Source organism: Homo sapiens, chromosome 10 (genome assembly GCF_000001405.40).
Source record: "Homo sapiens chromosome 10, GRCh38.p14 Primary Assembly".
NCBI classification, from domain to species: domain Eukaryota; kingdom Metazoa; phylum Chordata; class Mammalia; order Primates; family Hominidae; genus Homo; species Homo sapiens.
In genome coordinates, this window is record NC_000010.11 from 49,363,603 (window position 1) to 49,385,852 (window position 22,250).

At 48.4% G+C, this 22,250-nt stretch overlaps 1 protein-coding gene across 2 annotated transcripts in view, besides 1 other annotated feature; it reads right to left on the reverse strand.

Annotated features, from left to right (window-relative positions):
* Positions 1–463: 463 nt before the first annotated feature.
* The window catches only part of DRGX (dorsal root ganglia homeobox), a 32,024-nt gene continuing 10,237 nt past the window's right edge, over positions 464–22,250 (reverse strand). For both annotated transcript variants that reach the window (NM_001276451.2, XM_011540089.4), the window contains exon 7: positions 464–2,779. In NM_001276451.2, the coding sequence (NP_001263380.1) occupies positions 2,514–2,779 (266 nt within the window). In that variant the 3' untranslated portion in view covers positions 464–2,513. The remainder of the gene's footprint in view (positions 2,780–22,250) is intronic.
* Positions 15,944–16,444: an enhancer, noted in NCBI's record as "H3K4me1 hESC enhancer chr10:50587592-50588092 (GRCh37/hg19 assembly coordinates)". NCBI's record gives its function as "activates a minimal SCP1, AML or CMV promoter by ChIP-STARR-seq in primed H9 embryonic stem cells {active_cell/tissue: H9 hESC(primed)}" and the evidence as "EXISTENCE:reporter gene assay evidence [ECO:0000049][PMID:30033119]".

The following is a 22,250-nucleotide window of genomic DNA, read 5'->3' on the forward strand; positions in this document are numbered from 1 at the left end:
TCACAACTTCAGTGGTTTCTAGACTCCTTTCCCATAACCTGGAGGGCATTCAGGAATGGACTTCATTTGCCTCGACTAATAAATGAATAATAATAATTAATTAATTAATCAATCAATCCCTGGGGCCCGAGCCTCCTTCCCACACTGAAGCCCAGCTGCCTTTTACAGTCGTGTGATGAACTTCTGCAGACAGGGCAACCTACAGGGGCTCCAGCGAGAATGACCCTGCAATGCAGTGCTTGTCAATGCCTTGGGGAGGGCTCTGATCTGCACAGGGGCCCCTGTCTTGTCCCAGCATCCACTAAAAGGTTCCTGAGCCAAGGCCTCAATGTCCTCCTCCTGGAAGTTTCCAGGTTTCTATTTGCACCTTGGCCAAAGTGGAAAATTGAAGAGCGCAGACTCCACCCAGCCCTGCAGCCTCAGGGCTGGGAGGAACAAAGAGAGGACCTGAGCTTTTTCGGTCTTTGTTTTAACTCCTCTAAATTTATTTGGGTATTTAAACAAACAGAAACTACATCATGCATCATTACTTTTTGCCTTTGTACAACAAAACAAAGTACTCAATATCTCTGCAGAGGTTTGGTGCTCATTTTCTTTCCTTTCAGTAACATCAGGCAGACTTTTCGATATGATCCAGTTTTGCACAGTCACTAGAGTGTCGCATCATGAATTATTAAATCAGTGCTTCGTGGTAATACATAATTTCTTATCAATTATTCATGCTAATGTGTGTGTAGTTTACTTAATTGTGTTATTGACGATCAAAAGTAATTTCCTGAAAGTCCTCAAGGACACAAAATTTAATCAGCATAACTACTTTTCAGATGCAATGCTGTTAAGTATTCTTAATTTGCTCAACAGTTCACTTATTTATGTACCTTTCTGGAGGAAATACGAGTTTAATCAAACAATTAGATTGAAGAGTTAGTGTACATAAGGGCTTGAGCTTACATCCTTCAACCAAACATTCGTAATTACAGGGAAACGGAAGCAACTTTGCCGCTTTTTGGCAAATCGTTTCATCTTTATACTCAACAAGCAAAATACAGCAGGAAGAAGGATTTGATTTTTTTCTTTAAAGGAGACAGTGGGTTTTATCAAATGCTTCGTAGTGATCATAGACAAGGCATGATACACTCAGGAGTATTATTTGGGGGTCATGGAGTGGGGGAAGGTAAAAAGGGGACAGGAAATGTGAAAGTAAAACATTTTGACGATAATAACTGAAACCAAAATAACCATCATGAAGGCAATAACCATCCGCATGGAAACACCATCAGCAAAAGCCACCAAAGACTGCAACCTTTCCCATGCCGGGCGCCCCTGCCAGAAAGCGGCAGAGCTTATGCTATTGCACGTTCCCCTTGGATCTCCTCTAGGTCACCATCCTCACCAGAGAAAACAGCCACACTAGACCAAAACAGAAATCTCTGTGAAATTTGGCCCTTTGGAATTAATGCTCTCCACACCATGAGAAAGCTGTCTTCCCCATGCTCCATATCTGCACATACGCCGTTCCTGTCTCCTTTCCTACTTTTTTTTCCCCAGTAAAAAACCACCACCACTGAAGAGCCCCCTCTACGTGCCAGGCATGTGGGGAAAGGTAGTTCATCTGTATGCATAATTACTTCAGAGGCATTCCTGAAGGGCTTCTTCCCTCTCCAAGGGCCCTCAGGCCCTCCTGGACCAGAGAGCTGCTTTTCAGTTGCTTAACTTCCCACCAATCCACAGGTCTATCTGGGAGAGAGGAAGGGCTTGCAGGTGAGTGCTTCAGGTACAGGGGCCACACTAGTTCCACACCCACAGTGTCAAGACAGCAGCCCCCAGTTCATGGAGCAGGTGGCCTGGGTGATTAGCCCAGCCCCCCGGCCAGATGTGCCAGTGAGATCTCCTGGGTCAGAGCCACCGTGGTCCTCTGGGACAGGCTGTGTCCTGTTGGCCCCTCCCTACCCTGCATCTTCTCACTTTGTAATGAAGCCCACAACCAATATTCTCCAACAAGAGAAAGGGCATTACTGCTCATCTTGGTCCAGGGGAGCAAGAGTCGCTTGGGGTTCCACCAGTTCCCCAGTTCTTAAACACTGTAAGCGGGACAGGCCCTTTTCTTTTCATGAAACTTCAGCCCATGCCACAGTTCCTGGGGTTGACAAGACCTTCAAAGGCAGCCCAGGGAGGAAATAGGAAGGGAGACGGATGAGGAATCTACCTCCCTCCGAGACTCTGGGCCTGGATGGAAATCCCAGGGAGGCTCCTCACAGAGAGGGCTCTGCTGCCACCAAGTGCCATCGGGATCTGTTGCCAAAGAAGCCAGGACAACACTGCCGCACTGGTGGGACTCCAGAGGGACGCTCCAGGTGCCAAGGGAGCTGTGGGTCTCACTTGCCCGTCCTGGGTCCATGCAGAGGCCCTGGGGCCGCAGGCTTCTCCTTGCTATTTGGAGAGTTTTCTGTAGGGGCTGAGGCTGGGAGAAGGAGGGGCGGGGGAGGGCAGGCCGGGCGGGGCACTGTGGACCCTCATACACTCTTCTCTGCCTCGCTCTGTTCCTTGGTGGGAGAGGTCTTTTCCTGGCTGCCATCTGGGGGCGCCGGCTTGGCGACAGGGCCGGGGCTGCTGCTGGTGGAAGGCAGGAGGTTGGCTGACTGCAGGACAGCTTCTGAGTGCTCGCGGGCCTTCATGCGCAGGGTGGCCACGCTGGCCGTGCGGTTACTCTGGCAGCCATAGGTGGGAAGGAAGGAGAGTCCCATGGGGTCTGGGACGCAGCAAGAGCACAGTGGGCCCCCTGGAAAAGGAAAAACAACAGGCTCCCATCACTGTCTACTTTCTGCCTCTCAGGGCTGGGTGACAGGAAACGATCTGAGTTCTGAAGGACAGAAAGATTGATTCCCTCTGGTGCCAGATACTAAAGGGAGAAGGACAAGTGCTCAGAACCTCAAAGACACACAAATAAGGGACCTAGTTAATCGTTCAAAGGATTGTCAGAGCATCAGGGACACCTGGCGAGTCCTGGCTCCCTTGCCAAGCAGCTGTGTGGCCTTAGGCCAATATCTTGGCTTCTCTGAGCCTCAGTTTCTACTTCTGTAAAATGGGGTAATACCTACATTGCAGGATTATAAGGAGGTTCCCATTAAGTCATTCCACACTCCCAAACTGTGTCAAGGCACCCCTAAGAACTCACTGGGGCACTGCGGGGATACCTTAAATGGAAGGAAACCCAGCCACACATGTCAGGTGCCGGGCAAGCTGCTGGCTGCAGGCAGTTCCCAGCCTAACCACGAGATCCTGCTGCATTCCTGTCAAGAATTTTATTGCTTTGTGAAGCTGGATTTTGCAAGCACCACACAAAATTCCACATTGGAATATAAAATGTGTGTGGTGGAGTCTAATAGGATTCCAAGATTAGAGAAGCTGTACAAAGCTTATAAGGCACATAAGCCCCTTAGAAAGGAATAGTGGCTATTTAAAAATGAAAGCAGTCAGGTACAGTGGCTCACACCTACAATCCCAACAGTTTGGGAGTCTGAGGTAGGAGGATCGACTGAGCACAAGAGTTCAAGACCAGCATGGGCAACATAGTGAGACCCTATCGCTACAAAATAAAAATAAAAAATAAATTAACCAGGCATCATGGTATGTGCCGATAGTCCTACCTACTTGGAAGGCTGAGGCAGGAAGATCACTTGAGCCCAGGAGTTCAAGGGTACAGTGAGCCATGATTGCATCACTGCACTCCAGCCTGGGCAACAGAGCAAGTCCCTGTCTCTAAAAAATAATAACATTAAAAAGAAAAAGAAAAAGAAAAGAAAAGAAAAACATTATTTTTCTTTCAATTTATAAGTATTATTTTTCAAATGGCTACTAAGTTGTCAGGACATACTTAGTGAGCTGCTTGGACCTAACCATTGAATGAACAGAACTGTTAACTGTTAGATATTGCTTATGGCCCACAGGTGTCATGAACTGAGGTCTGAGAACCTCAGAGGGAACCAATTTGGAAAGTGCTTAGTGTAGGTCCAAGCCCAGGTCAATCCTTCTCACCCACGTGTTGCCTCTTGGCTGCTGATAATGGAAAATACGAAGAGGGAATTTCTGAAGTGGTCCCAGCCGAGGCTGAGGGCTGCAGCAAGGTCAGCACCAAGGTCAGCACACTTGTGTCCCAGCTCCCCTGCAGTCCTGGACATGTCCTCAGGCTGCAAGTGAGCTTTGAGCTGCTGTTCTGCCTTTCTGAGCATGCTCTGGAGTCCTTCCTCAAGCCACCAAGGGGCAGTAATCGTGAGACAAATGTCTGTGCTCACTGGAGCCTGGAAGGCCACCCTGGCCTGGCACCCACTTGTAGAGATCAACCTCAGGGGCAGCCGGAGCTACACCAGCTTTTCCAGCAGCTGGGACTTCCCCACCTCCCTTCCCAAGACAGCCTTCCTAATGCCAAAGCCAGGGTACCTTCTGCTCCCCTCAAGCATATTCATGTATCCTCCTCTTCCTTGCCAAGCCTGCTGAGAGACAAAGGGAACCTCACCTTTACCACCCGCTGCTCCTCTCATCACATTACGGCCACCCATAATGTAGGCGTGGTTCATCCCCCTCTCCAGGTAAGAAAACTGAGGCTCCAGATTTGCACAGTTTATTGTAGAGATGGGACCAGAACCTCCTGGTGGCCTTTCCCTCTCCTGTATTGTAATGGGAGGTTTAAATGCAGCTTCACCTCCTACCTCAAGTTTGACTGAGGGACTGATCCCGTAGGCAGCAGATACCAAGATGAGTGTGAGGCAGCACACACGCACAGTGTGCAAGGGAGCTCTGAGACCAGCCCCACTGCCCTGCAGGCCCGCTGGCCTCCAGCCTGTCATGCTTTTGGTCAAACCCCGAGGCCTGGCTGCTCCACTTCTCCTAGGGGCTCTTACACAGGCATAGCCACACCCTGACACCAGTCACTGAGAGACTCTCATGGGAGATGACAGCTTTTGCTGGGAACAATGCCTGCTATGAGCCTCAGTCCTTCCTGATGGTTAGAACCCACCCCCATGGGGCCTTATCTTCCTCCAAGTCTTCCTGCCCAAACGCACTCACTGGTGAGGAGCACCTAATGTGTGAAGACACCAAGTTATTAAGAATGGTGGTCCCCCTTGGAGAGGGTATGCTGTAGATTTGTGTTTTCCTCTCTATATCTATTTAGAATTTTTCTTGTTTTTCTACAATGAAAATGAATGTCTTTTAAACTTAGAAACATAATGTTAATTTTAAATGAATGTTAAAAAGAAGGAAGGCTAAAGACAGGCACACCTGAGAGCAGAGACTGGTTGGGGCTATAGGCTCTCAGGGACCTGGAAGAGGCCACTGTCCTTAGGCTTAGCCCTGGGTAGCTGGCCCTGGGTCAGGCCAGATGAGAAAGATGGGCTCAATCCATCTCAGGCTGGTATTAACCCAGTCAAGAGCTTGCTCCAATGTAAGCATCAATGGTGAGTTCAATGCTCTGTAACTCAGTGGCAAATCTAGCCATGTGCCAGACGTAGAAGTGACAGAGCCTCCTTGCCCTGGAGCCATAGCCTACAGCTGCTAGGTCACACCTGCAGCAGACCCCAAGAAAGCTACCCATAACTATACTCCTGGCCCTCAAAACCCAAACTTGGAAGTTAAGAGGAATAAATTAACTCACAGAACCAGGGCTGCAGCAGGGTAAAGAGTCTACATGTGCCTGGCTCACCCCCTACACACATACTCACACAGCACTGGATTGATGGGAAACTGAGGACCAAGTGAAGCCAAGGACCCTGTGGTTAAAAACCGTAAGGACTGTACATACCATGGAATATGACTCAGACTTAAAAGGAAGGGAATTCTGACACTCGCTCCAACAGGGGTCATTATGAAGACAGTATGCTAAGTGAAATAAGCCAGTCACTAAAAGAACAAATCCTGCAGGAGTCCTCTTCTGTGAGGTCCCCAGAGTACTCAAATTCCCAGAGACAGAAGTAGAATGACACGGACCTGGGGCCGGGGAGGGGAAGTGGGAATTGTTCGCCGGTCAGAGCTTCGGTTTTGCAAGATGAAGAGTTCAGGAGATTGGCTGCACAACAGCAGGAAGGTGCTTAATACGACTGACTCATACACTTAAAAATGGTTAAGATGGTAAATTTTATGTTACGCATGTTTTACCATAATCAAAAAGAAAATAAGATTTTTTTTTTTTTAAGTGTGCTGGCCAGAGGGGAGTTGAGGGCAAAGTGATCCAGGAAGATGAAGTGCACACAGGGCAGCCTGGCCTGTTTTTATGGCTCCTGCAGTGAGCAACAATCTTCAAAGCCCCTTGAGCTGCCAAACACTCACCCAGCCACACCCAGTCCCACGTCCATGGGGCTGGCACTCTCAACCCACCGCACTCACCGGGCCTTTGCCTAAGGAAGCTTCGCAGGGTTTTCACACGTCCCTCCAGCTCTTGACTATTGGTGAGAGGGGCAGGTGGGGGTGGAATTCCTCAGCAGGCAGCTGACCCTGATAGGTGTGCACTGAGCAACAAGAGTCTTGGGGCCTGGCACAGTGGCTCACACCTGTAAAACCAGCACTTTGGGAGGCCTAGACGAGTGGATCACCTGAGGTCTGGAGTTCGAGACCAGCCTGACCAATATGGTGAAATCCCGTCTCTACTAAAAATACAAAAATTAGCCAGGTGTGGTGGCTTGCACCTGTAGTCCCAGCTACTCCAGAGGCTGAGACAGGAGAATTGCTTGAACCTGGGAAGTGGAGGTTGCAGTGAGCCAAGATCGTGCCACTGCACTCCAGTCTGGGTGAAAGAGTGATACTCCTTCTCAAAAAAATAAAAAGAGCCTTGGGCACACAGCCCAACAGGTGCCGTCGCTCCCTTTCCTCATCTGCACCCCAAGCCTGGACTGCAGCAAAAGTGTCCATCAAAGGGGGCGGATGCCTGCAGGTGGACGCACAAACACGGTAACAGCCACACCTAGGAATGTGGCAAATGAGCCCTGGCCATCTGAAGGGAGGTCCTCAGAGGCTGCCAAAGGGGCTTCCCCTGGACCTGCCCAGACCTGAATGAGAACTGGGAAGATATGTGGATCCAAGACAGAGGTATGGAAAAGACTGAGAGAGGCCATCTGTGTAAGAGACAAGATTAAAAGCAAACAGGGGACAAATCTAGTGAGATGGTTAACAAGGAAAAGTATAAAGTCAATAATCTGCATCCAAGGATCCAACTACACAAAGGAGACATGGCTCAGCAATCAATCATGTGGTCAATACGACTTCACAGTAACTTCACTGCCATCCCACAGGGTTGTAGGTTGCCTTAACAGAGGCAGAACCTGCAGAAAAAGGGAGGGTAAAGTCCTTCTCTCTTGTGTGATGGTCACACCCTGCCTTATGTCTCCCATCCACAGACACCTCTGTCATCACCCTAAAGAGAAAAGCAGTGGGGGGATAGGAACTACAGTGATCTCGGCACATACACATGTTAACTTAAATTGTCCAACAACCAGCATCTCCCTTGAATTCTATAGCCATTTTTTGCAAAGGAAAAAAATTATTTCCACAAGCAGGATTCTTAAAAAACTGACTCTTGATTTCTCAGTGATCTGACAGTATCAATATGCCGCCTGCACAAACAACTTCATGGACCCTGAACACTGCTGAGAACTTGAAATAACATGATGGAGCTTCATCCTCTGGGGTTCCCAGGGTGACTCATTAGTAAATAGCTACTGAGTAAAAATCCAGACCCAAAGCTCATGCACTTTGGCCATGAAACGTGTGCTCAAGTAGAGGCCAGGCACAGTGGCTCGCACCTGTATTCCCAGCACTTTGGGAGGCTGAGGTGGGTGGATCGCTTGAGCCCAGGAGTTTTGAGACCAGCCTTGGCAACATGGCAAAACCCTGTCTCTACAAAATATACAAAAAAAATTAGCCAGGTGTGGTGGCAGGCACCTGTAATCCCAGCACTTTGGGAGGCCAAGGCAGGGGGATCACCTGAGGTCAGGAGTTCAAGACCAGCCTGGTCAACATGGTGAAACCCCATCTGTACTAAAAATACAAAAATTAGCCAGGCATGATGGTGTGCTCCTGTAATCCCAGGTACTCCGGAGGCTAAGGTAGGAGAATCGCTTGAACCCGGGAGGTGGAGGTTGCAGTGAACTGAGATCATGCCACTGCACTCCAGCCTGGACAACAGAGTGAGACTCCATCTCAAAAAAAAAAAAAAAAAAAAAAGCCAGGTATGGTGGCACACAGTTGTAGTCCCAGCTACTAGGACCCTCACCAAATGCTTGAAGATTCTCCTATGTGCAAAGTGCATTTCTAACATAAGTTGTCTGATTTCCAAGACTGCCACAAACTAGAAAGAAATGTGACTGCTAGTGGCAGACACATTGATGGTTAATGCTGAGAAAAGAGACAAAATTTTCTGAAACAGCCAAAAACACTCAAAATGCATAATAACCTGGAGCCATTTGCACAGAGGCAAGCAGAGCAGAATCCCAGGATGGCCCAAAGCCATCACAGTGGCGACTGTGGGTCACAAGACATGGTGTTTGACAGGGCTTTGAAAACTGCACCAAGCCTGTGACTATTAGTCATGGGGCCACTGAGTTGGCCGTGAGAGGAGCTAGGCACTGACTCTTTATTATGTCATAAGGTGACAAACACACTTAGAAAAGGTCTACCCTAAAACCAAGTCATCATTATGGAAATCCTATAAACGAGTGACAATAGGACATCTCTGGGGCCAGAAAAGCCAATGCAGCTGTGTAGAGCAGAAGAAGGTGATCAAAAGAAGAAGGTGGTCAGAAGAAGGTGGTAGAAGAAGTCTGGCCCCTGACCCCACTGTTAACCAGACACGGGACCCGCCTTCATCCACTCAAGCTTCAGCTTCTTCGCCTTAACACACCTACTTTGGGGATAAATCCTATAAAGCACCTGGTACTTAATCCTCAAACAATTATTTCCACAATTCCATACAAATTAAAGGACAATTCTAAGTCACAATTCACAGCTTATTCCAATTTCTGGTTCAATTCCATGACCAGCTGAAGAACCCAAGTTGTCCCGAGTATTCCCCAGAGGACACCATGATGGACACGAGACCTGCAACAGTACTCATGCACACACACGTAACACTACATACATGCACATATGGTACATGCAGTGACTGCTCTCACCAGCACTGTGTGCCTACCCTGCCATTGGCACAAGCCGTACACTTTTTCACAGCTGTATTTTTTCCTCAGTGAAATCTTCCCATCTGGCCAAAAAGTAATTTATACTGCCAAGAGAATTTTGAAGAGTAAGCCAAACAAACTTTCAAAACCCCCTCCTAATTACTTGATTTCTAGACATGGGACTCTAGAAGGGAGTAGCAGAGTATTGTTTTTGTTTTTGTTTTTCTTTAATTTATCAAAAAGCTATCATGTGCTCACTTCAGCAGCACATGCACTAAAATTGGAACAATAAAGAGAAGATAAGCAAATAATATTTTTTAAAGATAAAAAATTTAAATAAAAAAATTTTAAGCTATAATGAATGGGCTAAAAATTAAATTAGCTACTAAGGAAGTCATCCTTGTGCACATATAGCAGCAAAAAATCATGAATCAACCCATGGCCCAGTAATAGGGAACTGGCTGAATAAGTTATACCCATATAGAACACACTACAACTACGACAAATTATATTAAAGGAGGATATTTAGTACCATGAAAAAGATACTAATGAAATAAGACATTTAAAAAATAGGTAAAAGAGCAGTAAATAAACAATAAGTCATCAGTAAGTCAACATGAATACATTTTGGAATATATATGCGTGTGTATAAAACATACACATGCGATAGACTGAATGGTGATGTCCCCCCACCCCAAAATTCATATGTTGAAATCCTAAACCCCAAGGTGACAGCATTGGGAGGTGGGGCTTTTGGAAGATGATTAAGTCATGAGCACAGATCTCTCAGGGACTAATGTCCTTACGTAAGAGACCCCAGAGGGTTGCCCTGTCTCTTCCTCTTCCACTATACAAGGACACAGCAACAAGATACCATCTATGAATCCAGTGCCCTCACAAGACACTGAGTCTTCCAGCACCTTGATCTTAGACTTCCCAGCCTCCAGAACTGTGAGAAATAAATTTCCATTGTTTATAAGTCCCCGGGTTTACGGTATTTAGTTATAGCAGCCCAAATGGACTAAGATGATCCATATCCACATATACTAAAACACATATATGCATGTAGTGTACATATATATATGTACAGCCATAGACCACATAAATCTAGCTTCATAGGTGTATGTATATAAATATAAATTTACTTAGAAATAGAAAAATGTATAAATTTAAAATCTTAATTTAAACTTCTTAATTTAAAAGTTATTAAACATATGTTTATTAGGGATATATATTCATAAATGACATTTTAAAATGTTCCAATACCAAAATATTCACAGTGGCTGGTTCTGGGTGTTGAGGCTATGAATTTTTTTTATTTGTGTTTTATTGTATGTTTTGCTCTTTCTAAACTGACCAGGTATTACTCTCATAGAAAGGGTAATCTCCTTGGGGTTTGTGATTTCCTGTCTTCTCTCATTCAGACGATGGTGACAGATGTTCTCCAGCACAGAGTCCCACACAGGTTGCAAAGGGATAAAGACCGTGTCTTCATCACCCAGTGAAGACTCCAAGATGACTAATGGCCTCCGCCTGCACTCAGGGTATTGACAGCAAACATGGGGCTGAGGGTGCGCCATGAGATTCACCAGCAACCTTCTATTCATCTCCCCTCCCATTTGTGTGGACCAAAGTCAGTGAGTCCCTTCCTGCCTGCTCCCACCCCATGAAGCCCCTAAAAGGCCATGACTCCCTTCCTCCCCCTGGCAGGCTTGTGCCATCACAAAAGTCTTTGTAAGAGCCCTCTGGTCCTTAAATTCAGCCTGAGAACATGCTACTACCTCCTGGACACTAAATTAAAACACACAATTTGATTTCCATTAAGTTCCATCAAATTCTGCTGAATTGATCTAATCGGCCTCCATTCCTATATGACATCATGCTTTAAAGGCTTGGTCTGAATATAAATACTTAATGTAATAAATACAGTCTGAAATATTTGATCTCCTTGGCAGTTTAATTGATCTACTACCAAGACTGACAGGAAAAATTAAGTTAGCTCTGTCTCGTCTCTGCCAATAGCACATTTTCATCATTAAGGTATGTAGACTCCAATGCCAGTGACAAGGAGAGCTCTCACACACGGTTTTCCTGTTGAACGTTCAGGTTAGGGTAACAAGAGTTGAACAGAAAATGAATACATGGATTTATGAGACGTCTAACGCAAACAGCATAGTTCACTTATTTCCACTTTGTAGTAAAATAAATAAACTAATAAACATTTTGTGAGTCATCACACCAGTTCCTTATAGTTCACAAGGAGAGTTTAAGTGGGAATATTGGTAGATGCCTACAATATTTAAGCATACTTTTAGCTGCTGTGTTTAAGTGCAGTCACCAATAATCAAACAAAAAACAAGGCCAAATTCACTCCTGGACACACTGTCTTCTACTAAAGGAACTCCTGAAGTACTTTCTCCTCCTCTTGTTTTATGGTTTATTTCTTGTCTTTTCACCATGAGCCGTGTTTGTTTTTGTACACACCTCACCTCCCAAGCTTGATGTATGTGCCTCCCAGATCCAATCTCACAGCCCTGATTGCAGAACAAAACTGTCCCATTTTGGTACAAAGTAAACACTCAGTGAATATTTGGTGAAGGGAGAAAAGGAGAGAGAATCTATCTTTCTTGACCGAGTTGGCACATTTTAGTTCTTCAAAGTTGCCATCTCCCAGGTTCTAAGCTTCCTCAATACCCCATGGAAAGAAAAACTGTATTCTTAACGAAGTTAACCAATCTGATTAATGTCAAAATCCCTGAGTTAATTTGGAAGGGGTTTTGGTGGAATCAGCTCTAAATCCCACCCGTCCCTTAATTTCACCTATTACATGTAAGGCCTCTGTTTCGACAATTACTTATTCACTCAGCAAACACTCATTGATGGGGGCCAACTCAGCCGACCATTCCAACCAGAGCCTTGTGCTGTGACACAGTCTCAGGGCCAGTGCACATGTTCTTTTTCTGCTTGGATGTCTCTGCAGGGTCAAACAAGTAATGACAGTTGCCCCCAGATCCAAGGACACAGCCAGAGCAGTCACAGGGACGCATGTTCCTGGCAGTCAGATGCCAATTCACACAACCCTCCCTCCTTCCAGCAGCAGCCAGAGCTCGGCATGGGCAGGCTGCTTCTCCTGCTGCCTCTGGCACCAGCCAGACCCTTCTGCTCAGCTCTGTGCACTCCAGGGCCCCATTGATTAGCAGGAAGGGCAAACCCATCAGCACCCATAGGAAATGGCTTCTGCAGAGTGAGTTGCAGGTTTTCAAGCCAGAAGATGACAGAAGGTGCCTGTCAAAGGAGCAGAATCAATACAGGGTGTAGGGGGCTGGAAGGTTGCACACCCAGGTCCCTGAATTGTTGTGCCTCTGACATTCATGCTATGTGACCTTGGACAGTTCTATCTCTTCTCCAGGCCTCAGGTTCCCCCACTATATTCTGCAGAAGCCGTGGTAACATGCTCAACAAAGAGATCTCCTACAAATCTTAAGTGCCAGGATTCTCCACCTGTCTTCCTGACATCAGCTAGGCATGGAGGAGCCAGGGCTGACCCAGCCACTTTCCCCATGAGGAACGACCACTTCTGTCCCCTTGAGTCCTCTGCTCCCCAAATACCTGTATCCTCAGTAACAAGCCAGGAGCCCTGGGAGACTGTGTTGCTTTCCTGGAGCCCTATGTGCTGTCCACACACCATGAACCCCAGTCACCATGCACTGGGTACTGGGAGACTCTCCCATGGGAGAGTAAATGCTTGCAGGAAGCAGAAACCTCTGCCTCAGCGATCCAAACCCAAGCCCTAATCAGATCCCAAGTGACTTTTTGGCTCAACATCATGACTCTAACAACAATTACGAGAACTTAGGTGGATTTGGATGTGCCAGATGCATGGGCACCATTAGGTATGGCTGTTACAGTCTTTGTTTCACAGGTGAGGAGCCTGAAATCCACCCCAAGGTGACCCAGTGTCAAGAAGGACGCAGCATTGCCAGGCTCCTTCCCGGTGTTCATGTTTCTCTCTGCCTGGGGGACCCTCACTCACTGCACAGCTCAAGCATCTTCTCTGGAAAGACTTCTTCCTGTGGAGAAACTTCCTCCCTCCTCTGGGCTTCCCCATACTTTGTATGCCATTGTTTGCTTCTATGAGAGTCCATGACTGTCACCTGAACTAGGATTCTTGGTGGACCTGTCTGTCTCTCCAAGCCCACCCCCTAGCCCTCCAGATCCTTCACGTAGGGATGAGTCTAATTCATTGCTAGATGCTCAACCTGTGGTTCAGAGTCTGGCAAAGTGTAGCTGCTCAGTGGGTGCTGAATGAAGAACAGGAGAGCCTCGAGGTCTCTGGAGTCCTGCAGGTGGCCAGCAGTGCAAAGCCAGGGTCAATATCTTTGGAATCTCCTAAGAGAGGACCTTCTCCCAGGCCCAGAGCAACACAAGATTCTTTCCTTCTTTTCCCAAACTGCATTACATTTTACTCTGCACCAGACTCTGTGCTGGGGCAGAGGTAGGTGGAAGGATCCAGAGGCATGTTGGATGTGAATAGTGCCCTTAAAGTATAAATAGTCCCAACTGGAAGTACGGGTGGTCAACAACAAACACCCCAACTCATGGCAGGGGCCAGCATAACCTTGATACCTGTGGCAGTTAGTGTCTGCAGTCAGTCTTCAATGGACCACACCTCCCAGGACTCACACCCACGTGCAGTCCCCTCTGCCTGAGTCTGGGCTGGCCCGGCGATTGGCTTTAATCAATAGGATGCAGCAGCAGTGACACTGTACCCATTCTGGGTGTGACCCTTAAGAAGGCCTGGCATCCTCTGCTTTTATACTCTTGGTATCCAACCACCATTCAACCCTACCCCAAGCTAACCATAGGAGAGACCATGTGGAGAAAGAGGGAGAGGTTCCAGCCTCCCAGCATCTCTGTAAAAGCACCAGAGACCTAAGTAATGCCATCTTGTATATACCAGGCACAGCTGCCATCTGACTGCAACCTCACGAAAGAGCCTAAGGAAAAGCAGCAGAAGAACTGCCCAGTTGAGCCCAGCCAGCCCTCAGAATGATGAGAGATAACACAACAGTTGCTATTTTATAATACTAACTTTTGGGGCAACCACAGTTAAATAAAACCATACCAAAACCTGGAATGGAGATTATAAGAAAAAAACCACAGGCCCATCTCCTCATGATCATAGCTTCAAACTCCCTAAAGAAAACATTAGCAAACCAAATTCAGTAATATGTAAAAAGAATAGCATGTCACATCTAATTTGGGTCTATTCCAGGAATGTGCAGTTGTTTTAACATTTAAAAAAAGAATCAATATAATTCATCCTACTAGTATATTGAGAAAGAAAAAAAATCATGCAGTCAGCTCAACAGTTACAGAAGAAGTGATGAAATTCAATATTCATTAATATTAGTAATTTTTAAAAATGATAAGATAAAATTCTTAGAAAACTAGGATGAAGAAAATATATTTAATTGATAAAGGGTATCTTTAAAAAAAAAGGCAGCAAACACAACTGTGAAACCCTAAGAGCTTCCTCATGAGATCAATAAAGCAACAGCAGGTCACACACACCACATATTGCACGATTCCATTCACATGAGATGTCCACAGTCTGCAGAGACAGAGGGCAGAGTCAGGGTTGCTCTGGGCTGTGCAAAATGGAGAAAGTGCCAGTGACTGATAATGAGTACAGAGTGGTGAAAATGTTCTAAAATTTATTGTAGTGATGGTGAACACTCAAATGGTGAATACACTAAAATTACTGAATTGTACACTTTAATGGATGAATTGTATAGAATGCAAATTATATCTCAATAAAGCTTTAAAAACATTAGAATAAGGCCAGATGCCTGTTTTCACCACTTCTGTTCAATACTGTACTAGAGGTTCTAGCCAGCACAGTCCAGCAAGAAAAAGAAATTGAAAAGTATAAGCTTGGAAAAGAATAGACAAACTGTCTTTATAGACATGCTTGTGTACCTACAATATCATAAAGAATCTATGACTAAACCTAATTGCAACAAATCTTGTAAACATAGTGCTGAGCCGAAGAACTCAGACACAAAAAAATACATACTGTAAGACTCCATGTATATGTGTGTGTGTATATGCATGTGTGTATATATATGCTGTATATCTACTATATATATAGTACATATATGTATATGTGAAGTTCAAAAAAGTCAAGACTATAGATTGAGCCTCCCAAGTCCAAAATTTGAAATGCTGTAAATCTAGAACTTTTGCATGCTAACATGACACACAAATAAAATGCTCATTGGAGTGTTTCAGATTTAGGATTTTCAGATTTGGGATGCTCAACCACTAAGTAAAATGCAAATATTCTGAAATCCAAAAAAAATGCAAAATCAGAAACACTTCTGGTCCAACCACTGTGGATAAGGGAAACTAACTGGTACAGTGTTTCAGAATGCCTACTTCAGTGGTAAAGTTATATCATCATAAAAGTCAGCAGAGCGGTGTCTTTTGCTGGGAAGAAAAGTGACGTGAGTAAAACGAGGCACATGGAGTTAGGAGTGTGGAGTGCAAGCAAGGCCATTTGGATGCTTGAAACCATTAATAAAGTCCTAGGTGCAAGCTTCGTGCATTTTTCTAATGAATATTCTATTTTACAATAAAACCATTATAAAAATTGTTTTTTAAATTTTTTAAAACATCACAATTTTTTTAAAAAGGAAAACATCGTTAAAGAAGAAGAGGGGAAAGATGGTTTTGGGGGGCCTCAGAGGAGGAAGAGGTCACTTCTGACTCTGAGGTCAGCCTTTGTGGACAAACGCTATGGCCAATACAGCCCTCAGAAGCTGGACACTTCAGCCTGGCCTGGAAGTCCAAGGGCAAAGACCAAAGCAAAGCAAAACATCCTTGACTAATGCAGGGGCCTTGCCCTTAGGAAGGCCATGGCCAGACCTCTGCTAGCACTCCCTTCCCCTGAACATCCTTCCCCTCATCTTCAGACACTCGGTGCAGGACCAGGACTGTGGCTCAATTGCTCATGTCTAGTGAGTGCCATTGCATGCCTGCACCACGCGGGGCACTTGACCTACAGCAGCTCCTTCAGTCCTGACAGCGTCCAAGGCCTCTGCGGGGAAGATGGGGCCAGACTCCAGCCTATCTGTCCCCACACTCCTCCCAGCCTGGGCCTTACCTGCAACTGGCTGGAACCATGTCACCTCTCCAGAGGGGATGAGGAGGAAGGCAAGGAGTCAGATCTTACTCCATTGTCCTGCCACTGTTCTCTGGCCTCGGGCTCTGACTCTAGGGAACCACGCTGGGGTTGAGGGTCCCCATCATGTCCACCTTGCCCAGAAGGCTTACCCCTCCCACCTGGGAAGGTCAGCTATGGTGCCGCCACTTGGCAGGCTGTCCTGCCCAGTGCAGGGGGGTGGCTGTGACTCCTGCAGCATGAGCGTGCAGTGAGTTATGAAAGCTCTACCCTGGCAGCTGTAATTATGTCCCACCTCACACCCAGCTCTGTGAATCACAGGTTAGAGGCAGACCAGCTAATGCACCGAGGAGAGCACCTCCTCCGCTGACTGTGGCTCTCCAGCCCCAGCCATTCCTGCCCTGCCTGTGGCCAGCACTTCTCCGGAACAAACCCAAGCGCCTCCCTGGCCATTAATAACCTCCTCTGCATTAATGAATTGTGAATGAAATCCTGGCCATTAAGACAGCCTAAGAAAATTCTTTGTATTGGGACAGATTTTTCTCTGGACACCCATTATTGTCATGTTAGTCCTCCCTGCACAGGAGTAGGGTTCCTGCTCTCTTCTTATTTGAGAGTTTCCATAAAATAAAACATGCCCACAGTGAGCCCAGCAAGCCTGCCTGGCCATCCCAGAGGACAAAAGCACATCACTGCTTGAAGCCCCAGGGAGCCCCAACCAGGAAATCCTACAAAGGATATCTCATGGTCAAAAATTGGAGCAACAAGGATTACAAGGAAAAGGTAAATTTCAGTAGCAATAAAGTTCAGAGAAATGGGAGAGGTTTTGGAGAAGGTACTTCATTGGGTCCTTTAAAAGTGAATGGGGTCTAGGGACTGCAGCTGGGCATGAGAATGGAGGACTCTGGTCAACAATAGTTGGTGTTCAATGATGGTTAGTGATAGTGTCGCTTCCCACATGCTACCCACTGTCCTGAGGGCCTCAAATGCTCTAGCTTGTGTTCTCCTCATTCAGTCTTATGAATTCAGTGCTATTATGATCAAGATCCCCATTCTGCAGATGAGTGAGCAGAAGTACAGAGCGTTTCAGTGATTTACTCAAGATGTGCATGGCTACAGAATAGAAGAACTACGGTTCACACCAGCAGGCCCTTGCTGGAAGCCACTGTGCTAGTCAGCTGCTTCAGAATTAAAGGAGAAAATCCCCGCAAGAGCCTGGTTTCTGATTGCCTAGCTCTGTCCCTGGTGGGCAGCTTCCTGACTCGAGGCAGCCAGTTGCCTCACGGCCTGATGGGGGCAGCCCGAGGGCCATCCAGGCGCCCACCTGGTAACCCTGCAGACTGGTCTGCCACACCTGCACCTGTGGACACTCCACCTGGCCAGCCTCATTGGAGTGGCCAGGATCTCCTTCCCAAAAACGGCTGCCATCTCCCACAAACCTCCAACCCTTGCCCGGCTCCCTCTGGCCCGAGCAGCCCTGCTGACCTTGGCAGCCACATCTTTCTCATGCACGTGCTGCCCCACAGGCCCCAGCACCAACCCTGCTGTGCTAGCATCCCCAGCTCTCTCAATATGTGGAGGCTCTCTCAATATGTGCAAGACAAGGACTTCACATCCATGACAACCATGCCCAGAACCAAAAGACCAGGACCCCCAGCTCAGAGTCCTCTGATGTGTAACCACACATAATGCTCTCGGCGGTGCCCCAGTTGCTCACTGGGAGAACAGGTCTTGCCCTGGGGCATTGGGAACCCTGCATCGGCCTCACATTCTAGCTGGGGGCTGGTGCAGCACAGAACAGCCTTGGCTTGGATCCTCAGTCACAGGGGAGCAGCACCCAGGGGGTATCTAGGGCTGGGCCCGAACCTCCGTGGCCTACCCAGAGATGTTTGCTATCTTTGGTCCAAGGCTGTAAGATCCCAGTAAGACCACAAAGCCTGGGGAAGGAGACTAGCACTGATTTGGGTCTGGGAGCTGAAAACAACTCTGATTCATTTCTTCTGGGTGAATTGCAAGCTGCCACGGGCTTGGAGAAGTGGTTGGGATGTCTGGACTAGAAGGGGCCCCAGGGCTCAGCCCACATTGGTTCTGGTCTCTGTGGTCCTTGGCAAGTCCAGCCCCTCCCCCAGTAGATTTATGACTGTCACTACTTGCTGGGGAGCAGCAAGGAGGGATGTCCAAGGCCTCTCATTGTCCCCCAACCAGCCATGCTCATCCAGAGGAATTAATGAAAAAGTGGTGTCTGGTAGTGCCAGGCAGGGAGGGAAGGACACATCAGGAACCTGAGGACAGCAGCCTCCATCCCAAGGGGGAGACCCACCAGAATCAGTGATGTGTGAGCAAGCGACTTCCCCTCCCCAAGCCTCGGTTTCTCATTTATAAAAAGAGCTCAGTCAGGTGCCTTCTAGCACCAGCATGCATGCTGTGCTAGTCCCCGAGTTGGCTAGCAGCCCCTAGGAAGCAGGGTTCAGGCCTGAGAAAAGGAGAACTAGTTCAGCCAACAGCTGTGCCCAGCTACCTCTGGGGATGCAGGAAGATGAGGGAGGCTATGTCATAGCCCAGAGCTCCTCAAACTGAGCTAGGACCTAAAAAATTGAGGTCATTCCTTGCCCAGGCCTAGATTGGGCTGTGTGCTTAATTTCTACAGCCTGGGGAAACCTAAGAGAAGGAGAAGACTGGGCTGCAAGAGTCAGAAAGCTGTGCTGGCTCCAAGCCACGTAACACATGTTCCACCCTCACCCTACCTCTGGGCACTCTCCCATAGGCACCCAACACACCAGCCATTCTCCAGAGGGGTCTGGTTCTCCTCCTCGCCCCTGGAATGCTTTGCCTATGCCATTCCCTACACCCAGAATCCCTTCCCTCCTTCTTCCTGGACACTGTCTAGGGAGACTCTATCATATTCTCCTTCTGTCTCCAGAAACCACCTTTGAAACACAGACTGCCACACTGTGTGTGTGTGTGTCCCACCTGCTGGAGAGGGACCCCGGGGAGAATTGAACCTTGGCGGTGTTCGAAGCTGACTATGCCGCAAGCACACACCTCCCACCCCCACCCAGGGTCCTGGAGCAGAGATCCCCACACACCTCCAAGGGCAAGGCAGGGCTGACCTGCTGACTCCAAGGCAGCCCCAGGGACTGGCAGCTCAGAAGACCTCACTTCCAGAAGTGTCCCACAATGGAGCCAGGCACTTTTAGAATGCAGAGGTGCCACGACTCACATAAGCAATCCCAGCTTCACCCACTGGTTGTACAACTACAGACCCCCTCTTGCTATAATACTGACCACACTACCGTGAGAATTGAATGGCAGGTTGCCTGGTAGAGCACAGGATAACTTTCCATAATCGCTCACTTGCCTCCCTTTCCAACATGACTTAGCTTGTTGGAGATTTAAAAGCCACTGCTCAGAAAGGCCAGGCAGGAGTGGGCCATGGAAGGGGAAGGTGTCAGGATGAGCCCAGGGAGGAGAGCTTTGCTGGGGGCAGGAGGTAGGTATGCAGAGAGAACTCAGAAAGCAGAAATGGGACACCCCCTTACAGCCTGTCACAAAACAGCAGGGCCATGGCAGGTCCAACCAAGGACCTGCCAATTTGGCCCAAAGACTTGGAGGCAACATTTAAAAGATGGAAATTGTTACGGACAGAATGCTTGTGTGTCCCTCCCAAAATTCATAGATTGAAATCTTGTGATGGCGTTCAGAGGCAGGGCCTTTGGTAGGACATCGGCCATGAGGGCGGAGCTCTCGTGAATGGGACTCGTGCCCTCTTAAGAAGAGTCCTGAGAGGAGCTTGCTCTCTTTCCACAAGGAGCAGTCAGCAGCCTGCAGCCCCAGAAGAGAGCCCTCACTAGAACCCAACCCTGCTGGCGTCCTGATCGCAGACTTCCTGCCTCCAGCACTGTGAGACATAAACTTCTGTGTCTAAGCCACCCAGCATAGGGCACTGTGTTATAGCAGCCTGAACCAACTAAGACAGGAATACTTCAAATATAAATACAAATCTCCAGCTACTCTGGAAAATGCAGCAATTCTGGCAACACAGCATCCACGTTCCCACGCAGCCACAATCAGCTGGCTGAGCAACGGCTGCCCTTTGAGTGGGCAAAGGTGCCCCAGCCTGCCTCTGCCCAACCCGAATCTGAGGGTGCCCCCAGCATGGCTCCTTGCTTAGCTGCTTCTGGTGGTAGCAACATGTGCCTTTTACCCAGGCCTCTCTCAGAAGTGGGAAAATGATAAACAGACCCAGAGGGCCTCCTGTTTCAAGAAAAGGGAGCAAGAGCTCATTTGTAACTGGGGGAAAAAAGACAACACCTGCACACGCTCACTTTGTGCCCACCTGCCTGGCTCTGGAAACACGGTATGTCGCCGACCTCAAGGGCCCGCCATGCCCCTGACTAGTCAGGAAGGGGATCTCACAGGGGTGTGCTGGCTGCCCCTGAAGGGCCCCTACAGTGCACAAAGACACATCCAAGTTTGATGAGCACACTGTGGTTCCTGCCACCTCCACAGGGCCCTGCACCTCCCAAGATCCGACAAGAAAGGCAGCAACAGAGAAAAGTCCATCTCCAGCAAGGCAGGCATGGGGCAGGCTCCGGGGCGGGGTGGCAGGTCACAGCCCAGCCAGAAGGGCTTAGGGAAGGGGTGGAGGGGAGAGGAAGAGGATGGACAGATGTTTGTGGCCACGTTCACTCAGGCCAGTTGGTCCAGTTCAGCACCACCCCCTCCTGTCCGCACCAGCCTCTGTCCTGGGTTGGTGCTGAGCTGGGAGCACCCCCAGGGTGTGGGAGCCACAAGCCCAGTTCTGTCTCCCTCTCACACACTGCCCTCGGTCTCCCCACCCTCCTGGCTGCAGTCTAGTCCTCAAGCCCCCTTCAGCCACTGCTGGCGTCCAACGGGGCCTCAGCTCAGCCTATCAGAGACGCCGTGGGAATCACTTCCTATTCATGAGGCCAGAGTAGGGCGAGCGACCCTCATTTGTAAAAGAGAAGATGACTCTCAGGAGCTGACCTGGCCCTTGTCGAAGCAGACAGGGCTGGGTAGACATAGGATTGATTGCTCCTTTGCCAAGCGCCAGCCCCTTGGATGATGCCCACATCCCACTGGTAATCTTCTGGATCCCCCTTCTAATTGGCTGCCTGCACAACTGTAGCCCCTGAGCAGCCCACTGTGTCTTGTAAATATGTCCCAATGTTGCTCTATGGGGTTGGGGAGTGGGGGGCTTCTATGTGGCCCCCAGAGCACCTGGACCCTGGAGCTGAAGGAAGTACCAGGAGAAGGTACTGAGCTAGGCCTTGTCCACATCAGCCGACTGAGCCAGGGGATGCACCCAGCTGCCTGGACCACTCAGAAGCAGCCCCAGGCTAAAAGGGCTCCACCTCTTGCAGTGGAAAGTCCAGACTCAGGATCCTGGCATCCAGGGCCATCAAGCTCTGGCCCCTGCTGGGCACCCTCACCCTATCTCTGGGCACTCTCCCATGGGCACCCTCCTCGCCCCTGGAACTCTTTGCATATGCTGTTCCCTACACCCAGAATCCCTTCCCTCCTTCTTCCTGGACACTGTCTAGGGAGACTCCATCATATTCTCCTTCTGTCTCCAGAAACCACCTTTGCAACACAGATTGCCACACTGTGTGTGTGTGTGTGTATGTGTGTGTCCCACCTGCTGGAGAGGGACCCTCCTCGAGAGCAGGGAGACCTCAGGCGTTAGCAGAACATGCAGGGGACACCCTAAGGGTGTGTCTCCTACTTCCTATTATCAGAAAAAAAAGCCTACAGCCTGCACCTATGCCTCCACCTCCCAGACCCCCTGTGACAAACGAGCCCCCTAACACTCACTCCCCCAGACGCACGCTGGGGCCCAGCTCTGTTCCTGGCCAACACAGCTGTGCAGCCTGATCACTGAAGGA